The sequence below is a fragment of the Homo sapiens genome, chromosome 10 (assembly GCF_000001405.40).
Source record: "Homo sapiens chromosome 10, GRCh38.p14 Primary Assembly".
Classification (NCBI taxonomy): Eukaryota; Metazoa; Chordata; class Mammalia; order Primates; family Hominidae; genus Homo; species Homo sapiens.
The window spans coordinates 62,337,601-62,361,223 of record NC_000010.11 but is presented as its reverse complement, the minus strand read 5'-3'; the positions used below and the strand labels follow the sequence as shown (position 1 = coordinate 62,361,223).

The following is a 23,623-nucleotide window of genomic DNA, read 5'->3' as shown; positions in this document are numbered from 1 at the left end:
TTGATATTTTGATTTGATAATCAAAAATGCATTTAATGCATCCAACCTACTGAACTTCATGGCTTAGCCAGGCCTGCCTTAAACATGTTCAGAACACTTACATTAGCCTGCAGTTGGGCAAAATCATCTGGCAGCACAGTACACTGTAGGGTATGGTTATCTACTCTCGTGACCATATAGCTGACTGGGAGCTGCAGCTCACTGCTGCTGCCCAGCATCGCAAGGGTTTCATACTGCCTATCACTAGCCCAGGAAAACATCAAAATTCAAAATACAGTTTCTACTGAATGTATATAACTTTTGCACCATTGTAAAGTAAAAAAAAAATAATAAGTTCAACCATCATCTTCAAGAACTGTCTATATAGGCACACCATCTTCCTTTTCTTTTGTGTTTATACGGTGTATTAGTCAAGGTTCTCTAGAGAGATATCCCACCATTCTATGAAACCAGCTCCTTCCGGATGATAGGAGACATGGTGAGAACAGTGAAGTCCATGAGCATAAGCCCATTTTTGTACTTCTTTGTCTGTGAAGTGAGTTCCTTGATCAGAAGCAATGGGATGTGGAATATTATAACAGTGGATAAGGCATTCAGTAAGTCCATGGATGATAGTTTTGGCAGAAGCATTGTGTGCCATAGAACATACATAGAAACATATGAAAGGGGATTTATTAGGGGAATTGGCTCACATGATTATGGAAGCTGAGAAGTTCCATGACAGGCTGTCTGTAAGCTGGAGACCCTGGGATGCCAGAAACATGGCTCTAGCCAAGTCCAGAAGCCTCAGAACCAGGGACGCTTATGGTGTAATTTTCAGTCCAAGGCAAAAGGCCTGAGAACCTAGCAAGCAGCTGATGTAAGTTTTGGAGTCCTCAGGCCAGAGAGCCTGCAGTTCTGATATCCAAGGGCAGGAGGAAGAGAGTGTCCCAGCTCCAGGAGAAACATCGAGGAAATTCTGTCCTTTCCTTTTTTGTTCTATCTAGGCCGCCAGCTGATTGGATGGTGCATATACACACAGCCACTTTGAGGGCAGATCTTCCCTACTCAGTCCACTGAGTCACACAGCAGTCTCCTCTGGAAACACCCTCACAGACACACCCAGAAGTGATGATTTACCAGTTCTCTAGGTATTCCTTAATACAGTCAAGTTGACATCTAAAATGAACCATGACAAGTCCAGCCTTTGTTAACTTGATAGCCTTATGCATACCCTTGAACTATACTTAACCTGCAAATAAAGATAATAAAAAGGAATAATTCCACCTAACATGATAAAATTATCCTATATACAACCATAAATGCACTAATCCCTGCCCAGAGAGGAGGTAAAGTCCTTGGATGATGTTTACTTTTCTCCTGATGTAACTTAAATACTATGATGTAAAATTAACAATACTTAAAGACTTATGTAAAGTTAATATATCTTACGTTACATGAAAAAGGAATAAGAAAGGAGTGAAAACATATTTGCTTAATATATGCATAATATACACAAAGATATTCTTAACAAAATAAGGAGAAAATACTCATGACAGTTATAGTCCTTGTTCCTGTAACTGGTCACATGGTCATAGCTGGTTTCGATAACTACCTTCTTTTACTACCCATTCTGTATTCTCTTTGCCTTCAGCAAGTATCTCAGCTGTTTGTGGATATTTACATGGTGAGGTGACACAAACCTTTGTTCCTGAAGGGTCTGGACCATTTATAGTCCTGCCTGTATTGGGTTGCTGTAATTTCCCATTGACCTTAATCACAGGGCATGATAATAATAAGAGATGCCCTAAAGGATCTCCTATATCCCACCCTTCCTTACCTTCCTAGAGGTAAGGACTACCAATTTACCCATGGTAGTCTGGATCATTCCTCTAGTCAACATTGTAACTCCTTTAGCCTGTTGACTCAGTCATGAGGAGGTCAAGGTTGCTTGGTGGTAGTCTAAACTTCCAGTTCACTGAAGTCAGTGTTGTGTCTCCTGGTGTCAGCATTCCTCTCTCTGGAACTAAGACCTGTAGGCCAGCAGAGCATAAGGTCATGGGAACAGGGAGCAAATATTTTTCCACTAGGTCACTGGGGGCATTGGTAAGTGGTGCCATTCCCATTTTCACCCCTTGATTCTTGGGCCCATGAATCCTGGCTGTGGAGAAACTGTACCCTATAGTGAATGCTACTTGGGGCATACACACCCTTCTGGAGAACCTTGCCTGAGCCCTGCCAACTATTATAACCTAGCTGGTACTGTAACTGTGACATCAAAAGGCCATCCTACTGTTCTGGGTGAAGCCAGCTGCTTCAGGATGATGGGGAACATGGTGAGAACAGTGAGTTCTATGAGTATGAGCCCATTTCTGCATTTCTTTGTCTATGAAGTGAGTTCCTTGATCAGAAGCAGTGCTCTTTCTGTGGAATACCATAACAATAGATAAGGCATTCACAGATGGTAGTTTCAGCAGAAGCATTGTGTGCAGGCAAGGCAAATCCATATCCAGAGTAACTGTCTATTCCAGCAAGCACACAATGCTGCCCCTTCCATGGTGGAAGCAGTTCAATGTAATCAACCTGCTACCAGGGAGCTGACTGATTACCCCAGGAAATGATGCTATATTGAAGACTCAGTATTGGTCTCTGCTGTTAGACTGAGCTCTCAGAGGTGGCAATAGCCAAGTTGGCCTTAGTGAGTGGAAGTCCACTTTGTTGAACCCATGCTGATATGGTTTAGCTCTCTGTCCCCACCCAAATCTCACCTTGAATTGTAATAATCCTCACATGTCATGGGAGGGACCCAGTGGGAGGTAATTGAATCATGGGGATGGGTTTTCCCCATGCTGTTCTCATGATAGTGAATAAGTCTAACAAGATCTGATGGTTTTATAAAGGGGAATTCTCCTGCACATGCTCCCTCTTGCCTGCTGCCACGTAGGACAGATGTGCCTTTGCTTCTCCTTTGCCTTCTGCCATGATTATGAGGCCTCCCCAGCCATGTAGAACCATGAGTCCACTAAACCTCTTTTCTTTATAAATTACCCGGTCTCTGGTATGTCTCTATTAGCAGCATGAGAACAGACTAATACACATGCATAACCTCCATCCCTGCCACCATGGCCACTTTGTTCATGGGCCCACTGTGTTATAACAGGAGTGACTGAGGAAAGAGATTGACTAGTATGCACAGAATGGATCATCCTATTCACCTGATGATTAAAGTCCTCTGCTGAGAAGGTGAGCATTCACGTAGGACACAAATATCTCCACATCTTTTGCCCACTCAGATCTAGCCCTATATGTTTTCCCCAAATTACTTTTCACCAATTTTCCAATCCCCTTCCTTTCAAGTCCCTGACCATCTGGCAAAATCATTAGCTACAGCCTGTGTGTCAATATATAATTGCACATATGGCCATTTCTACTTTCAAACAAAGTGTACAATCAGGTGAAGTTTCTGCCCATTGAGAAGAATTTTCTTCACCACTTTTCTTCAGAGATGTCCCAGAGAGGGGATGTAATGCTACAGCTGTCCCTTTTCAGGTGGTACCTGCATATCATGCATAACCATCTATAAACTAGGCCCTGGTCTTCTCCTCCTCTGTCAACTGATCATAGGGTACTTCCCAGGAGGCCATGGGTGTAGGCTGGGAGAGAAAAAGCTGTGTAGTATGAATAGAAACCATGATCCTTTGGGCTACTTCTTCATGTAACATACTTGTGCCTTCAGAACCTGCTCAGGCCCCATCAAATATATACGACTTCAATTTGGTGATAGAGTGCTGCTGTGCACACCTAACTTTATGGTTTGGTGGGTCAGATAACACCCAGATAGGTAGCTCTGGTCATGTAGTGACTTTATAACTCATGTTCAAGCATTCAGTTTCTTCTAAAGCACAGTGGCAGGCCAAGAGCTGTCTCTCAACAGGAGAGTAGTTATCTAGGATGATGCCAGGGGCTTGCTCCAAAATGACTAAAAGTCTCCACTACGATTTACCTATAGGGGTCTGCCAAAGGCTCGAAACAGCATCCCTGTCTGCCACTGACACCTCAAATACCATTGGATATACTGGATCATATGGCCCAAGTGGCAGAGCAGCTTGCATAGCAGCTTGGAGCTCCTGCTGCTCCAGGAGACTGCAGAGCCTTCTCCTGGAGTTCCACTCAAAACTTGCAGCTTTTTTAGTCACTCAATAGATGGGCCAGGATAACACATCCAAATGAGAAATGTGTTGCTTCCAAAATCCAAATAAGCCCACTAGGATTGTGCTTCTTTCTTGGTTTTAGGAGGGGCCAGATGAAAGAACTTAACCTTCACCTTAGAAGGGATATTTTGACATGCCCCACACCACTGGACCCTAGAAATGTCACTGAAGTAAAAGGCACCTGAATTTTAGTAGAATTAATTTCCCATGGTCTGACACACAAATGTCTTACAAGTAAGTCCAGAGTAGTTGCTAGTTCATGCTCACTACTAGGTCCAATCAGCATAATGTCATCAATGTAATGGACCAGTGTGATATCTTGCGGAAAGGAAATGCAACCAAGATCCTTGCCAACTAAATTATGACGTAAGACTAGAGAGTAGATATACCCCCATAGTATGACAGTGAAGGTGTATTGCTGGCCTTGCCAGATGAAAGCAAACTGCTTCTGATGAGCCTTATGGACAGGTATGGATAAAAAGGCATTTACAAGATCAATAGCTGCACACTATTGTTACCAAGAGAAGTGTTAATTGGCTTAAGCAATGGAACCACATCTGGTAGGGCAACTGCAATTGAAGTCACTGCTTGTCTAAGCTTATGATAATTCACAGTCATTCTCCAGAATCCATCTGTCTTTACACAAGCCAAATAGGAGAATTGAATGGGGATGAATATGCCACCTTTGCATATTTCCTGTTCTCACAACTTTATGCTCTGCTGGCCTACAGATTCTATTTCCAGAGGGAGGAAGTCTGCCACAGGGAGACACAATGATTCCATTAAACTGGAAGTTAAGACTGTCACCCAGCCACTTTGGGCTCCTGATGCCTCTGAGTCAGCTGGCTAAGAAAGGAATTATGGAATTATGAATTGTGGTAGTCTGGAGTAATTGATCCAGACTACCAAGGAGAAATTGGACTATTACTCCACACTAGAAGTAAAGAAAGTATGCCTGGAATACAGAAGATCCCTTAGGGCATCTCTTAGTACTACCATGCCTTGTAATTAAGGTTGATGGGAAATTACCTAAAATTAACCATCACATATGGCATTTTTTTGGTTCTCTTATTGTCTACTTTTCTGTGTCTTTATATTTAAAGCATGACTCTTGTGATCACAATATAGTTGTTGTTGTTCAATCCAATCTGACCAACATAAGACTTTACTCGGTGTATTTAGATCATTTACAATTAATGTAATTATGAACATTATTGAGTTTATATATACATTGTTGCTATCCATTTTCTATTGGGGTCATATGTTTTATACTTCTTTTTCTATTTTTCTTTCCTTTTTAAGAACTAAAACTTTTTAAATGATTATTTCATTTACACTTTCTATTATCTTGTAAGCATATGTCATTAACTATTTATGCAGTTCTCCTAGATGCATAATATATAGCCTTGACTTATAATAAACTATTACAAATTGTTACCTTTACTATTACCTATCTCCCACTTTTGTGAAATTGTTCTACATATAATTTAAGCCTCAGATCACATATGACTATTGTTTTGTATAATTAATTATCATTTATATTTACCAATTTAGTTCCTCTTTCTGGTGTTCTTTATTCCCTTCCTGGATTTTTATCTTTCTATTTGGGAATGTTTTCTTTCTGGCTGAAGATATTTATTTAATTTACTTTTAGTGAGGACCTTATATAAAAAAATCCCTTAATTTTGTTTGTCTGAAAATATGCATATTTTCCTGTCATTGGTAAAATATATTTTTTTACTGAATATGGAATTTGAAATTAGTAACCATTTTATTTTAGTTTCCAAACTAAAATAAATTTTCATCGGTTTTCTTCTAACTTTCATCGTGTAGAGGTTGCTGTGGTAAACCACAAAGACTCTCAAGTATTGAGTACTTACTCCTTCTCTTGCCAAGAATATTGCATTCTGATAGTCCAGAGCTTGTTCACTTCCTAAGAATCACCATTGGATTAATATAATGGCTTGCTCAAGGTTGGGGCAACTCTCCAGGGAGAATTCACATTCAGTGACTGCTTGATGTAGGTATATAAAATTTGTCCTTAATTCAGGACACATCTGAAAAGTTTTGCAGCTCTGGAGTTCTCCAGGGGTTTAGCTGGGGTCACTGTTAAACTGTTCCTTCTGTCTAATGCTGGTTTCTTCTTTCCCTCACAGGTATTGTTCCTGCTGACAAGTTCAAATACATTTCTGTATACAAACCCTTATCTGTATTTCCCATCCCCTAATATTGTCCCCATTGATCCTCATCTCTTTGTACTCATAACCTTGTATAGTTCCTTTCACATTGAATTAGAGTGGACTTGTGTAAATATAGATTCTACAGAAGTGGTGGTGTTTAACTTCTGAAGATCATAAATGATGTTGCAGTGTCCCATTTTCTCTAGGATTTCTCACTGTGAGAGAAGTGAGCCACCAGATAGAGAGGACACTCAAACAGCCCCATGCAGAGGCCAATATAGAAAGGATAAAATAGCCAGCATCAACTTACCGGCTTTGTAAGAGAGCCTTTATAACTGAATCCACTGCCCCGGTCAAGCCTTCAGATGACTGCAGCTCTAGCCTACATCTGGCTGCAATCTCAGGTAAGACCCTGAGCCAGAGTGTACCAACCATGTTGAAAATGAATCCCTAACCCACAGAAACCAATTGAAATAAAAAATTACTTTTGTTGTTTTAATCCAATCGGCTTTGGGATGACTTTTTTTTTTTTTTGCACAACAGTAGATAAATACAGGTTTTGATCATCGAAAATGAGGTGCCACCATCACAAAAACCTAAAAATATGGTGATAGTTTGCTGAGAAGAGCGGAAAAGACTATGAGGAAGTTATTAGTGGGACCTAAATGTCATTAGAGACATTTAATGGAAACTGCATGGTGTTCAATGAGGATATAAAGTGGGAAATTAAATAAAAGTAAAGAAAATGTTACTGCAAGCTGAAAAAAAGAGGACATATTGTTGACTGATGGGAAGCTTATTTGTATTGTCGACTGGGGTAGAATGGAAAATTTTAAATATGCTCAATGAACTGGAAGAATTCGCTAAGAGGATATCAAGACAAAGTGTTAAATGTATCGCCTGTCTTCTACTTGCTGTTCATAGTAAAATACAAGAGCAGAAAGAAAAGCTAAAGGAAGAACTGTGAAGAATTTAAAATTGCAGAACATGATGGGTTTGAAATTAAAATTGTTTCTTATTCCAAGATTTACAGATGGCAAACAATGCTAAAATTAAGAAATGACTTTTAGGCATATATCAATCTAGGGCACTCTGAGGAAAAATATGATCTAAAGATGAAGCAGATGGTATGACTGTAAAATCTTTTGTTCAGAGTATAAAGAAACCTAAAGCAATGTCTCAGGGAACTGTTTAGTAAGATAAAAAGTCCTATAAGAATTTGAAGGATGCTCTTTGCAGATCTTTGTTAAATGTTGAGGCTTCTAAGCATCTTGGAGATGTTTATTTCAATAGCCCCAGAGGAAGCCTAAGGTTCAGGAGGGCTTCCAGTATAGACATTTGTGAGTGTGGCTTATCTCTAATGGAGTAAATGCTAATAAGATCCATAGGAGACCCACAAAATTTTAAAAAGTTGTGCTAATGTTAACAGTACATGAACTAAAATGTACCAAGACAGTACAAAATGGTAAGAGGTCTTTAGACCCCAAATTTCTAGTGTCATAAAGAAGGCTGAGATAAACTACTCAGCTGTAAATGTATATTATCATTTGTGGAATAGGAAAGATGATTTAGAGGTGGAACTGAACCAAGAATCCAGAGTGTGGGCCTAAAGTGCCATAGAGAATCATTTCTAGGCAGTAATAGGTTTGAGTCTTAATAATGAATTGACAACATGTGCCCAGGTCAATTTCAGTATTTCTATGTGCCAGTGAGCCCTGTCTGCCTCTCATTTCCTCTATTTTTAATGGGGGGCCATAGTGGTTATCTTATGCCTGCCTCACCATTGTAATTTGGATATTTGGGAGTATAAAACTTGCCTCTTTTGTTTACAGGTGTTCAGATCAAGGGAAACTACTCTAAGAGGCTACACTTGAGGAACAACAACCAAGGAGCTTCAACTGCATCTGGATTTCAGGGTAATGCTGTTGATGATTAGATTCTGGGCTTTAGGCTAATGCTGTTATATGATGAGTCTTTTGAGATACTTAAGAGGGAGTGAGTTTATTTTGCATGATGGAAGGACATGAATCATTGAGGATCAAAGAGCAGACTGTCATAGTCAGCTTACACTGCTCTTTGTTATTCATGCTGTTGGTTAGCACCCTCCCACATGGAATCAAAGCTGACTCACATGGCCAATAGAACACTGGATTTTGATTGTGTATGGTTTCTTAGGCTAAACTATAAAAAACATTGCAAATTTTTCTTAATTTCTTGCATCACTCTCTATGGTGGAAGCTAGCTGCCATGTCATGAGGACACATAAGGAAGCCCATCCCAAGGCCCACATGGACAGGGACCAATAGCTAGCATTAACTTGCTAGCTGATATGGTTTGGGAGCTTGTCCCCACCCAAATCTCATCTTGAATTCCCAAGTGTTGTGGGAGGGACCCAGTGGGAGGTAATTGAATCATAGGGGCAAGCCTTTCCCCTAAGGTGACTCTTGTTACATTTTAGCAAAGAGACTGGCAGCATTTGGCCCCTATGCTAGAGATTTGTGGTACTTTGAACTTGAGAGAGATGGTTTAGGGTATTTGGTGGAAGAAATTTCTAAGCAGCAAAGCATTCAAGAGGTGACTTGGGTGCTATTAAAGGTATTCAATTTTATAAGGGAAGCAGAGCATAAAAGTTTGGAAAATTTGCAGCCTGAAAATGCAATAGAAAAGAAAATCCTATTTTCTGAGGAGAAATTCAACTAGCTGGAGAAATGTGCATAAGTAACTAGGAGCCTAATGTTAATCTCCAAGACAGTGGAGAAAATGTCTCCAGGACATGTCAGAGGTCTTCACAGCAGCTCTTCCCATCACAGGCCCAGAGGACTAGGAGGAAAATGTGGTTTTGTGGGCCAGGCCCAGGGTCCCCATGCTGTGTGCAGCCTAAGGACTTGGTGCCTTGCATCTCAGCCACCCCAGCCGTGGCTGAAAGGGGACAACATAGAGCTTGGGTTGTGGCTTCAGAGAGTGCAAGCCCCAAGTCTTGGCAGCTTCCATATGGTGTTGAGCCTGCGAGCACACAGAAGTCAAGAACTGAGGTTTGGGAACCTCTGCCTAGATTTCAGAGGCTGTATGGGAATGCCTGGATCCCCAGGCAGAAATTTGCTGCAGGGGAGGGGCCCTCATGGAGAATGTCTGCTAGGGCAGTGCAGAAGGGAAAGGTGGGGTTGGAGCCCCAACACAGAGTCCCTACTGGGGCACCACCTAGTAGAGCTGTGAGAAGAGGACCATGGCCCTCCAGACCCCAGAATGGTAGATCCACCAACAGCTTGCACTGTGTGCCTGGAAAAGCCACAGACACTCAACACCAGCCAGTGAAAGCAGCCAGGAGGAAAGCTGTACCCTGCAAAGCCACAGGAGCCGAGCTGCCCAAGACCACCTCTTGCATCAGTGTGACCCTAATGTGAGACATGGAGTCAAAGGAGATCATTTTGGAACTTTAAGATTTTACTCCCCTGCTGGATTTCAGACTTGCATGGGGCCCGTAGCCCCTTTGTTTTGCCCAATTTCTCACATTTGGAATGGCCAATGCCTGTACCCCCACCCCCGTACCTAGAAAGTAACTAACCTGCTTTTGATTTTACAGGCTCATTGGTGGAAGGGACTTGCCTTTTCTCAGATGAGACTTTGGACTGTAGACTTCTGAGTTAATGCTGAAATGAGTTAAGACTTTAGGGGACTGTTGGGAAGGCATGATTGGTTTTGAAATGTGAGGATGAGGATGTGAGATTTGGGAGGGGCCAGGGGTAGAATGATATGGTTTGACTGTGTCCCCACCCAAATCTCGTCTTGAGTTCCCACGTGTTGTGGGAGGGACCCAGTGGGAGGTAATTGAATCATGGGGGCAAGTCTTTCCCATGCTGTTCTCATGATAGTGAATAAGTTTCCAGATCTGATGGTTTTAAAAAGAAGAGTTCCCCTGCACAAGCTCCCTCTCTCTGCCTGCTACCATCCATGTAAGACATGACTTGCTCCTCCTTGCCTTCTGCCGTGATTGGGAGGCTTCCACAGCCACATGGAACTGTAAATCCAATTAAACCTCTTTCTTTTGTAAATTGCCCAGTCTCAGGTATGTCTTTATCAGCAGTATAAAAATGGATTAATACACTAGCCAAGTGACTTAAGAACCTTGGAGGTGAATCTTTGAGCTCCAGCTGAATTCAGACTGTTAAATGACTGCAGGCTCAGTCAACATCTAACTGCAACTCTATAAAATAGCCTGAACCATAACTCAATCAAGCTACTTTTAAATTCTTGCAGTTTCCACAGAAACCATAAGAGATAATACATTATTGTTGTCAACTTAGGCCATTACATTTTGGAGTGATATATTATGAAGCAATAATAGCTAATACACCATCACAGATTCTATTTCCATTTATATGCATTGGATGTTTTGAGCATTTCTCACGTCTACTTTATTTTCTCCATTATTTCTTCTCTATTTACTTCAATGTGGTTATTTTCCACTGATCTGTTTTCGAGTTCTCCATCCTCATATTCTGTTTGTTCAATTGCTATTAAACCTATCCATTTACTTCTTTATTTTTTTTCTCGTTTTTAGAGATGGGATCTTGCTATGTTGCTCAGGCTGGAGTGCAGTAGCTATTCACAGGCACCATCCCACTACTGATCAACTTGGGAGTTTTGACCTACTCCATTTCCAACCTGGGCTGGTTCATCTCACCTTGTGCAACTTGGTGGTCCCCCACTCCTGGGAGTTCACCATATTGATGCCAAACTTAGTGCAGAAGCTCAACTTGCATAATGCTATAGCCAAGAACTCCTGGACTCAAGTGATCCTCCTGCCTCAGGTGAGGCTGGAAGATATTTTCACTCCAATTATCTAGAGTGGAAAGACACCAAAATAAATGTAGAACCTAAAATGATCATGTCTTAGTAGTAGGTCTAAATAAGCCCCAGAGTAAAGGCTGCTCTAGCCCACTGTAACCAATTTTTAAATAAAGATCAAAACAACCAAGCTAATGTACAAGTAATTTAACCAACTGCCAAAGTAAAATTCAACACACTTTAAAGAAAGACAAGAAAATCCAGACACTTGACAATTTAACATCACAATATCCAGCATTAATTTAACACTTTCTAGACATACAAAGAAACAGAAAAATGTGTATAACTAAAGGAATATTCAGTCAGTAGAAACAGATTTGGAAAAAAGAGATGATAAGATTAGCAGATTAAAAACTTAAGACCTTAAAAGTATATGCTCAAGGTCTTAAAATATGAACATAATGAGGAGAGAAACAGAAGTTATAAAAATTAACCAAATTTAATTTTTAGACTTGAAAAATGCATATGTAAAATAAAAACTCAACTTATTAGCTGATTAGACACTGCAGTAAAAAATAGATCAGTAAACTTAAAGACATAGCAATAGAAAATATACAAATATATAGATGGGGGAAAAGTATTAATATTGAAGAAGAATGAGCAGAATATCAGTGATCTGTGGAATAGTACCAACCAGACAAACATTTATGTAATTGGAATCCCAGAAGAAGAAGAGAAAACAAAGTGAGGCACTTGAGAAAGTAACGGTTGAGGCCGGGCATGGTGGCTCTCGCCTGTAATCCCAGCACTTTGGGAGGACGAGGCCAGTAGATCACCTGAGGTCAGGAGTTCAAGACCAGCCAGGCCAACATGGTGAAACCCTGTCTCTACTGAAAATACAAAAATTAGCCAGGTGTGGTGGCAGGCACCTGTAATCCCAGCTACTCAGGAGGCTGAGGCAGGAGAATTGCTCAAACCCAGGAGGCAGAGGTTGCAGTGAGCTGACATTGCGCCATTGCACTCCAGCCTGGGCGACAAGAGTGAAACTCCATCTCAAAAAAAAAAAAAAAAAAAAAAAATGATGGTTGAAATTGTTCCAAATTTGATAAAAATTATAAATCCATAGATCCAAGATCTGTGTGCAGAGTGTGCTTGGATCAGATTAAATAAAGACAATAAACCCAAGAGAAGAAACACAAAGAAAATCAAACCACAATATATCATCATTGCACAAGTTATCAATTTATTGCCTCTCAAAAACAAATTTATTCTTTACTATGTGCTCTGTTATAATGAACTGGACTCTTTATAATTATTTCTCCTATATAGTGAGCATAATATTAAGTTTTGTCAGTGCTAGATGCTGGAAGGAAATTGCAAGAGTGCTTCTCTTTCTGGTCCAATTTGCTGCTGTTTTATTTCTTCTTATTCTTGTACAGCAAAATATATGTGTGCAAAATATATTTCTGTCAACTGAGCATATGTGAGGAAACATCTTAGTGGCACACTGTCCCTGCTGCAAGAGAGGGCACATAGTGCCTCAGTGACCTTGCAGCTCTGGCATGAATCTGGTGACCACCTCACTGAGGTCCTCCAATGTATATAATGCACTTAAATACTCATGCTAGAAGTGCCATCCCAACTCCTTCTGCATGACTGTCCACAAACCTCTGCTCATCTGAATCCTGGAAGGTTGTTTGATTCTGTCCAGGGATTGTGGACCAATTCTAATACAGATAACTCAGTGAACTTCTCTGCCATTCAGTGGGCAATTTTCCTCAATGAGGATTGAATGCCAGCTTCTACAGTAAGACTCCCATTCCAAATTCATTCTTCATTGAGCACTCCCTTCAGCCCTGAGGGATCCTTTCAAAACCTTCTTACATGATGAGTCATATTCTCTTGCTGCCTTTAAAGTTCTCTCTTTGCCTTTATCTTATGGAAGATTGACTATAATGTGTCTAGGTGTGGAGTTTTTTGCATTTATCCTATTTGGAGTTTGTTGGGAATCATGCATATGCTAGTTAATGTTTTAAATTTAATTTGAGAAGTTTTTTTGCCATTATTTCTTCAAGTATTCTTTCTACCACTCCCCACATCTGGGACTCCCACTATGTGTGTGTTGGTATGCTTGATGGTATTCCACAGAGCAAAGAGTTCAGAGGCTCTTTATTTTCTATATTGTTTTAATCTTTTGGTTTCTCAGTATTTTAATTGACCTGTCTTCAAGTCAGCTGATTCTTTCTTCTTCCAGTTAAAACCTGCTTTCAAGTTCCTCTAGTAAAGTTTTCATTTCAGTTATTGCACTTTTTAACTCCAGAATTTCTACTTAGCTCTGTTTGTAAAATTTCACCTCTTTACCAATATTTTCTATTTGGTGACACATCATTCTCTTATTTTCCTTTACTCTGTAGACATAATTTTATTTAGTTCTTTGCGTACATAATAGATATTTAAATATATATCTAATAAGTTTGACATCTGAGTTCCTAAAGGGTAGTTTCTAATGACTGCTTTTTCATCTATACGGGTCAATTTTCCTGTTTATTTGCATAACTTTTTCTTAAAAACTGGCCATTTTGAGTAATATTATGTGTCAATTCCTGAAGTCAGATACCTCCCTTCCACAATAATCATTGTCATTGCTGTTTCTTTAGTTATTTTTCCCATACCAATTACATAAACTGTATGTTTTGCCATGTGCAGTCATTGAAGGCTCCGCTCAGTTAGCTTAATGATCAGCTAATGACTGGGTAGTGATTTTCTTAAATCCCTTGAACCAATAAGGCTTACAGCCTTCGCTGATGCACTCACCACGATAAGTCATGACTTCAATGCTCTGGCAGACAGTTTACAACTCTGCCTAACACTTCACTTCCTACTAGCACAGAGCCTCAAAATCAACCAGAGGTAAAAGTTTAGTGCCTTCTCGGATCTTTTCTGGGAATGCACACAGTCCTGGACATGCTCACAACCCTTGACATGTACACAACCTACTAGATTCCTAGTTGATTTCCAAAGGCCCCTGTGGACATTTCATGCCCTGGTTTTATCTTTTCAGCTCTTATCCAACCTATTGTTAGCTTCAGCTGGTAATGCTGCCTCAGGCAGCTGAGATTTTTTTTTTTTTTAATGCCACTGTTTATAACAAATGTCTGAAGGTAGGGCTGTTTTCAGAGTGGGATCAAAGAAAGACAAGCCCTGAAAATTGAATTTTTTAGCAAGCTGCTCTACAAGCCAAATAGTGAAAATTCTCTAGAGATGGGGCTTCAAGGAGCTCCAAACTCGTACTGCCCCTCCAGTGGCTGATCATGTAGTTGTAATGCTGTTAGCCTCCAAGACCATGACAAGAAAACTGGAGAGAGGATAATGAGATTAAGCAAGTTAAAGTGCCATGTGGCTCACCGTTCTTATAGAAATTTAGCTGTTTTCCTTGACTAATCACTTCTCAGATTGTTGCAAGCTTTCAATTTATTTCCAGAGTTCTGAAAAAGTTAATTTTGGCTAGTGTTCTCATTGCTTTTATGGAGAAGCAGATTTTCATAGGTCCTTACTCTGTCATTTCAAAAGTAGATCCTGATTTTTTTTAAGTCTCATTTACAATGCATCAAAAAGCATGAAATGTTTAAGGATAAGTTTAATAAACTTGAGCAAGACCTGTGTAGAAAATGAAAACTAAAAATGCATTGCTGGAAGACATTAAGAAAAATGTAAGTCAGTGGAGAAACATACCATGTTCATGAATTGAAATGCTCAATATTGTCAAGATGGTATTTCTCTCCAAATTGATCCATAGATTCAATAAAAAATTGACAGACCGAAACATTTGTATGAAAATGCAATGGGCCTAGAATCGTTCAATGATTTTGAAAAAGAACTCAGTTGAAAGACTTTAGCTTATTTCAAGATTTGCTATAAAGCTACATATGGTGTGGTAATGAGACAGAATGTAGAGTTCTAAAACAGAACATACATAGGATGAGTTGCTTGTCAGATGTTATGTTGTTTTGTTTTGTTTGTTTGTTTGTTTTGAGATGGAGTCTTGCTCTGTTGCCCAGGCTGGAGGGCAGTGGTGAGATCTCAGCTCACTGCAACCTCTGCCTCGTGGGTTCAAGCAATTCTCCTGCCTCAGCCTCCCAAACAGCTGGAATTACAGGCATCTGCCACCATGCCCAGCTACTTTTTTTATTTTTAGTAGAGACGGGGTTTCATCATGTTGACCAGGCTGGTCTCAAAGTCCTGACCTCAAGTGATCTGCCTGCCTCAGTCTCCCAAAGTGCTGGGATTACAGGCCTGAGCCACTGCACCTGGCCTGCTATGGTTTTTATATGGTTTGTTTGTTCCAAAACAAACCATAGTGAAATTTGGTCCCTAGTATGGTGGTATTAGGAGAAGAAGCCAAATGGGAGGTGTTTGGGTCGTAGGGGAAGGTTTCTCATGAATAGATTAATGCCCAGAGTTCTCTTTCTCTTAGTTCCCACAAAAGCTGGTTATTAAGAGCTTCCCCACACCCCTGTACACAACTGTTGCTTCTGCTTTTGCTGTGTGATTTCTGCACACATCAGATCCCTTTTGCTGTCTGCCATGAGTGGAAGAAGCCTGAGGCCCTTACCAGATGCAGATACCCAATCATGAAATTTCCAACCATCAGAATCTTGAACCAAATACAGCTTTTATAAGTATATATATATATATATATGCCAGCCTCAGGTATTTCTTTAGAGCAACACAAATAAACTAAGACTTTAACAAAAGTGGCAAAGTAATTTACTTAGAAAATGGTACCTTTTTCCAAAAATGGTGCATTTCCAACTGTATTCCAAAATTTGGAAAAAAAAAAAACCTGACTGCTCTGTCTGTGGTCTCACTCTGCTGCCCAGGCTGGAGTGCAGTGGCGTGATCTTGGCTCACTGCCACCTCCACCTTCCTGGTTCAAGTGATTCTCCAGCCTCAGCCTCCCAAGTAGCTGGGACTACAGGCACGCACCACCATGTCCAGCTAATTTTTGTATTTTCAGTAGAGACACGGTTTCACCATGTTCGCCAGGCTGGTCTCGAACTCCTGACCTCAAGTGATCTGCCCGCCTCAGCCTCCCAAAGTGGTGAGATTACAGGTGTGAGCCACCACACCCTGCCTACTTTCTTTTTTTTTATGTCCAAAAAACTTGGAACAGATCCTGTACTTTCTTAATAAACTTGCTTTCACTTTACTGTATGGACTCACCCCAAATTCTTTCTTGCATAAGATCCAAGAACCCTCTATTGGGGTCTGGATTGGGACCCCTTTCCAACATCTTTTGGGAAAACCACAAAGAGGCTATACTGAGGAGACCCCTAACCCAGAGGAAATAGACTGCTGCGCTGATTGGCCAACTTTGGGTAAGTGGTGGCATACCCAGGTAAATGATGGGATTGGGTTAGAAGCCCAACTTAGGGGATTTAGAGTCTCTCCTAAGACAGAGAGGGTTAAAAGCCTTTCTTTATAAAAGACAAGGACACTTGACTGAACTTGGGTTTGAGGCCCAAATTAGGAAGGTTAGAGTCCTTCCTAAGATTTAGGGGGTTGGAGGTCCCTCTCAGTAAAGTCTCTTGCAGCTAAGAAGGAGTTTGGCCTTGTAGAATATTAACCACTATTTTCTTTGGATTGATCTGCCTTGCACACTTTGCTGATGGCTGTGGATGACAGGATTAGGCAAGTACAGGATCATGGGGCATGGGGCGCTTTTTCCTTCCAAAAGAGGGGAACTTGAGAGATGACAGGATTGCTGGAAAAGATCCCTTCATGACCAACAAGCAGCTGCCTGAACTTTTGATTCAGTGTTGCTGCAGTGGGTGGGTCTTTATCTGGCCTTCCTGAGCACGTTGCCTTCCCCACCCTGCCACCAGCAATGTTTATCTCCCTTTCTCTCCTTTCTCTTTTCTACTGTTTCAGTTACTCAGGGTGACCATCTTGCCCAGAGAGCACATGTTGAAAAATGTCATTGGGATCTTGACCTTGTAACCACATGGTGGTACTTCCTCTTAGTCTCTGACATCTGGAGGACAAGAATTGGGGATTCATGTCAGCCCTAAAAATTATCTCAAGCAGTTAAAAACTATTGCAAGCTTAAAATTGGCTGCCTCTAGGCTCCTCCCAGGAAGGGTAATGGAAACTGCCCAATGCTGTAGCTCAGCAGTTAAGGTTTGCCATTTTACAATGGCAGCCTGGGTTCAATTCCCAGCTTAGGGAATGAGTCCTTTTCTGGTTTGATATCTGTGTGACCTTTACCATTTTTTTGATATTCTCTCCCTCTATGAACCACCTTGATTTTTCCTTTCTCTAAGCACCTGAGAGGTTATCGTTGGTAAAGTCCAAAAGCTGGAAATATTGGCCGTTTGGCATGGCTAAAGTTGGATAATTTAAAAGAACTTTTTTTTTTCCAGTGCTATGGTTAAAAATCAGCTTAATTAAAAGTGGATATTCATGTTCAAACAGTGTGGGACTCCTTGGGGAAAACCTGTTTTCCTCATGAAACCCTAGGAATTGAAAGTGGATAGATCCCTCTCAAAATCTAAAACTTTCTTCTGTTTTGCATTGCATTATTTGATGTTTTTAACATTTAGGGGTATCAGAAATTACTTCACATTATGAGAGAACTTTGGTGTGTAATAACTAGGTAGGAAATATACTTTTAAGGATGGCTAATGGCAGTTATGGGGGGATACATGGCTCTTTGCATGCTTGGATGAGAGAAGCATGCTCCTGGCTGCCTGGAAGGTATGGATATATTCCCTCACTGAGAGATAAGACTCCCATGGGAGATGGGCTAATTCCCTCTTTTGGGGATCCAGGATCTGTTATAAAAATGGGACCCTTAATTTTTTGTGATCTGTTTTGCCTTCCAGCTGTGCCTGCTTATTAGGCCCTAGAAATTGCATGCTTTAAAGAGAAACTTAGAAACTTGCAAATGAAAAATCTTACAACTACTGAATATTTTTCTATCTGTCTGTGTATTCATATGTGTTGCATGTGTGATATGGAAAAGCTCTGATTAATTGGCTTAAAAAATAATAATGGCCAGGCACGGTGGCTCACACCTGTAATCCCAGCACTTTTAGAGGCTGAGGCAGGTGGATCACCTGAGGTCAGGAATTTGAAACTAGCCTGCCCAACATGGTGAAACCCTGTCTCTACTAAAGATACAAAAATTAGCCAGGTGTGGTGGTGGGCACCTGTAATCCCAGCTACTCAGAGGCTGTGGCAGGAGAATTGCTTGAACCAGGGAGGCAGAGGCTGCAGTGAGCTGAGATTGCACCATTGCACTCCAGCCTGGGCGACAGGGTGAGACTTGGTCTCAAAAAAATAAGAATAATAAGTGCTTAAATCAAATATTTGTCAGAAAAGTAAAAACTGTTATGCCTTTTAGATCACATGACTTAAGTAATCTTTGGGGCATAGAAAGAGTTCTACATGTAAGAAAAGTGAAATGTGTTTTTGGTAAAAGATTGTAAGAAGTCATAAGAATGTAAATTTTTTTGCCTAAAGGGTTAAAGGATTGTTTTAAGTTAGATAGGATAAAGCTGAAGGTTTAAACAAGTTGTGGAAGGTCTGTGAAAAATTAATCTTGTAAAAGAAATTCTGTATGTGAACATATTAGCTAAAGTTAAAGAAGTGTTATTTAGTTTTTCTGTAAACTGAACATTAAAATAAAAGCACAACAGATTTTTCTTAGAGCACTAGTTTGCTCTTTAGCAAAAATTTGTAAAGTTTTTAAAAGATTAATGAAAATCTTACCTTATGGTCAGACATTAAAATTGGATGGATTTGTCTGTAAAGTTTTATTAAGAATTGTGTTTAACATTAATAGTACACTAATATAAAGGTGCAATTTGGCTTATTTGGTATACAAATCATACAGGAAACATTGTCAAATATAAAATGGTGTTTGGCTTTCTTTGGGCTGTATTTGTACAAATATGTTATCATGTGTGTTCCAAAATTATGGAAAACTCCTACAATCCTGATATAGTGTGTGTTATTAATAATTATAATTGTTATGTAAAATTTTTGTATGCTATAGAAGTAACCAAAATTTCCTTGTCACTGTGGCTTTAATAGTGGCTGTCCTAAGACTTTTTGTCATCAACAAACAATTGTCTAGTTTTGATCCTCTTTAAAAGGTGGTCTATAGTCAGCTATAGGACTTTGACAGGTGTTTTTGAATGCAGATTTCTGATGACTTTGGAGATTGTGACATCAGAATAGAGGAAAAGCTTTCAGGACTCTCATGGAGAGCTGAAATGTTCCTGAATATCAAGCAGAACAGAAGTTAACTGAATGGACTGTACTAATAGAAGATTGAAGTAGTCTTTTCTAACTTTTTGCTTAAAATTTTGCTTATCCTTTGTTTTGTTTTTCAGAGTCTGGAAAACTTTTCTTTTGAGCTATTGACAGCCTTTAACAACTGAGTAAAGTGTACTCCTGTGAACAAAATTCAGAGCCTGTTTGTTTCTCTCTACCTGATTTCTCCAGAATTTGGAAACTATTTGTGAGTATTCTTAACTTATGGAAACATAGTTATTTGCATAAGTGCAATAAGAATCTGTTTTCATTTGTAACAGGACACAATTGGAAAAACTGGTTATTTTACCAAGGCTTTTACTGGAATGGTGTGCTTTCTTTTAAGGAATCAAACTTGACTTATAGAGCCAATAAAAGCCCCTTGGAAACACTGGCCTTATACATTGTCTACACAGTCTCTGTGTAGGGTTCCTAACCTGTGAGTAAAGAATGTCACTTTTTAACAGTCCCAGGAGCCCCCAAGTTATCTTGGGACCTGAATAGGAAAGGAATTTACCCAATAATAGATATTTGAGTGTACAAACCCATGGCTGGGCTCAGCTTCAGAAAAAAGTCTTATCTGAGATTCCTTATAGAACAGAGTTCCATCAAAGCCAATTTAAAAAGCCTATGTGAAAAATAATTATTCTTGCTGCACTTTGTATGAATAATCAGGCCAAGTATAATAAAGTAAATCAGTCTTACAGTGATTTGTCTTTAGTAAAAATGGGAAACTGGAGAGAGAAAAAAATTGTTTCAAGAACTATGGTACAACTGTTACTAGATTCTAGTCTCATTCACTGTTTTTGAATTTTTTTCTGCAATTTAGACTGACTCTTCTTATTTCTGTTAACCAACCAGTGATCTCTGGCTGCTGCTCAGAAGAACTAAGAAGGATGGGTAATATAAAATCCAGATCAATATTCTTATTCTGGGCACATATTGGAATCAGCTAACAACCCCATATCAGTTTGGTTCCAACAATTGCCCAGTTCATGGAAAGCCTCTAATTTTGTTTATTTGGGATGATTTTGCTTATTTTGCTTTACTATTGTGGAATATATTGCTGTTGTACTCTTTGTGTAGGAATGCAGGATATGCTTGCTGAATGTTTTCTTAAATTGAACCCTTATTCCTCTTCCAGGTACCATCTTTTGTTGGAACTCAGTTACAAATAACCCTCACCATACCAGCACTTTCTGAATGAGCTCCTCTCTACCCTGAAGGCAAAAGACCCAATAGTTAGGCTGGAATATTATCACCCCTATTCAGCCTGAAGAAGTTACAGAAAATGGATCTTCATCTGTCTACAACCCTTAGGATTAAGTGTTCTCTTATAATAGGGAGGGGGGAATTGTCAGAGGCATTTGAATCAAAGCAACTCCATTTCACACAGGGGCTAAGTGAAATAAGGCTAAGACCTACTAGGCTGCATTCCCAGGAGGTTAAGACATTCTAAGTCACAGGATGAGACAGGAGAGCGGCATAAGATGCAGGTCAGAAAGATCTTGTGGATAAAACAGGTTGCAGTAAAGAAGCCAGCCAAAACATCAAAACCAAGATGGCGACAAAAGTGACTTCTGGTCGTCTGCACTGCTACATTCCCGCCAGCACCACGGCAGTTTACAAATGCCATGGCAATGTCAGGAGGTTGCCCTACATGTTCTAAAATGGGGAGGAACCCTCAGTTCCAGGAATTGCCCACCCCTTTCCTGGAAAACTCATGAATAATCCACCCTTTGTTTAGCATATAAACAAGAAATAACCATAAAAATGGGCAACTAGGTGTGCACCACTGCTCTTCTTATGGAGTAGCCATTCTTTCATTCCTTTACTTTCATAATAAACTTGCTTTCACTTAAAAAAAAACTTGACCCTTACCTTATGCCATGTATAAAAATTAACTCACAATGAATCAGGAGGTATTCCTTTTTCCTGACTGCCTTTGAACTGGGACATCATTTTTTTCCCTGTCTTCAGACTTGAACTGAAACATCAGCTTTTCTTGAGTCTCAACCTGCTGTTCTTTGGACTAGAACTGCACCATTGGCTCTCTTGGGTTTCCAGCTTAACAACTGTAGATCTTGGAACTTGGCAGCTTTCATAAATACATGAGTTAATTTCTTAAAATAAATATATTCATATGTATGTATATAAAATACATATCTATCTATCTATCTATCTATCTATCTATCTATCTATCTATCTATCTTCTATTGATTTTTTTTTCTCTGGAGAACCCTGACTAGTACAGCTACATATAGTGTGGTATTGGTGTTAAAGATCAATAAAGCAGCATGCAGAATTCAAAACAAAACATATATAGAATTAACTGCCAACAAACATGACAAAGTAGTCTACATAGAAAAGGGTAGTTTTTTCCCCCAAATGTTGCTGATAACAATTGTATTTTCACATAAAAATTGACAGTTGACACAACTCGTGCTGTACGAAAAAAAGTTAACTTGTAAACAAAAAATTAACTTGTAGTGGATTATAGACCTAAATATAAAAGCTAAAACCATAAAACTTCTAGAAGATAATATTGGATAAAATATTCACAAACTTGGAGTGGGCAAAGATTTCTTAAAACACAAAAATCACTAACCATTAAAAAATCCCAAACCTCAGCATCACACCATATACCCAAGTAAAAAAGCTGCACATGTACCCACTTAATCTAAAATAAAAGTTGAAAAAAATAATAATTTAAAAAATTTGAAAAATAAAAGTAAAATAAAATAGACATTTGAGTCTTGAAGGACGGCATTAAGAAACTGTAAAGGCAAACTATATTAATAAAGAAAGTATTAATAATGCATATGGAACAGGAGAGTTTCCTGACCTCTTCTTGGGACTTGTGACAAGAGTGTGGCTTGCTTGCTCTGCCACCACACATTCAAACACCTTACAGGAAGGGGAGCATACAGATGGGCAGGTGCAGGAGCTGGGGTGAGCGCTTTTGGGCTCCTGCCCCATGGTAGCATCTAGGAGTATGTTATGATTAATGCTCTTTTAGCAGTTACCATCTGTGTATGGCTAAATGTTAAACCAGCTCAGTGGAGTGTCAGGGTGACAGTCTTTTACACATTGCCCTCTTGGTACCCGGATCGTTTTCTGGCATCCAGGAAGAATCAGGTCACATGGACTTGATGAGTGGTAAGTGTGGGGATTTTATTGAGTGGTAGAAGTGGCCCTCAGTGAGATAGATGGGGAACTGGAAAGGGGTGGGAGTGGGAAGATGATCTTACCCTGGAGTTCAGCTGTCCTGCAGCTGACTCCTCTCTGATCGTCCCCAGCCAAACTCCTCTTGATATTCAGATGCTCCTTTCCTTCTCTCCCTCTCTGCCATGTTGCTCTGCTGCTCTTCTGCTCTTCTGTTGGTCTCCTCATAGATCCTGGGGTTTGGGGTTTATATGGGTACATGATAGCAGGCATGGAGGGTCAAAAGGCAAGAGTTGGGTACAAAAACAGGAATGTCTGTTCCCATTTAGGGCTGTGTGTTTCCAGGCTTGAGGGTGGGGCCTTTGCTGGGGATTCACCTTCTTCTACCCAGTGTTTCTCTGCCTCCTGTCTGTATCACATACATCTAACAAAAAGTTTGTGTACAGAATATGTGTGTGTATCCATGTGTGTATATTACAATATACATATATGTATCATGTGTCTGTGTGTATACACATACATTAATAATGCATATATACTTTTATATATATACACATATTCACATGTTCTGGACACAAACTTTTTGTCAGATGCATGCATTGCTAAAACTTTCTTTTTGTATTATAAATATATAATATAAATCTTTGATAATCTATAATTTAGATTAAATTTTTAATCTATTATAATAATTATAATTATTAAATTTTAGATTATAATCTATACTTTAATCTACTTATTATTTACAATATTATAATCTATTTATCCATGTAAAAATCTCATAAAAATGGGGAAAAGATGGAAATAGATGCTTTACAAAAGAAGATACATGATTGGCTAAAAATCACATAAAAATATTACCTTTTGTCAATAGGTAAATGCAAATTAAAATCATAAGGAGATACCACTACAAATCCACTACAATGGCTAAAATTTTTAATGCCAAATATTGGTGAATTTGTGGAGAAATTGGAACTACCATGCTGA

The 23,623-nt window shown here is 39.6% G+C and overlaps 1 long non-coding RNA gene and 1 pseudogene across 1 annotated transcript in view; one reads left to right on the top strand and one right to left on the bottom strand.

Annotated features, from left to right (window-relative positions):
- The window catches only part of LOC283045 (uncharacterized), a 35,540-nt gene extending 13,904 nt beyond the window's left edge, over nucleotides 1–21,636 (top strand). Inside the window, exons 2-4 of the long non-coding RNA NR_104162.1 lie at nucleotides 6,577–6,774; nucleotides 8,203–8,286; nucleotides 19,555–21,636. This is a non-coding gene — a long non-coding RNA (uncharacterized LOC283045). The remainder of the gene's footprint in view (nucleotides 1–6,576; nucleotides 6,775–8,202; nucleotides 8,287–19,554) is intronic.
- RN7SL591P (RNA, 7SL, cytoplasmic 591, pseudogene) lies at nucleotides 10,927–11,218 on the bottom strand (annotated as a pseudogene).
- Nucleotides 21,637–23,623: the final 1,987 nt, after the last annotated feature.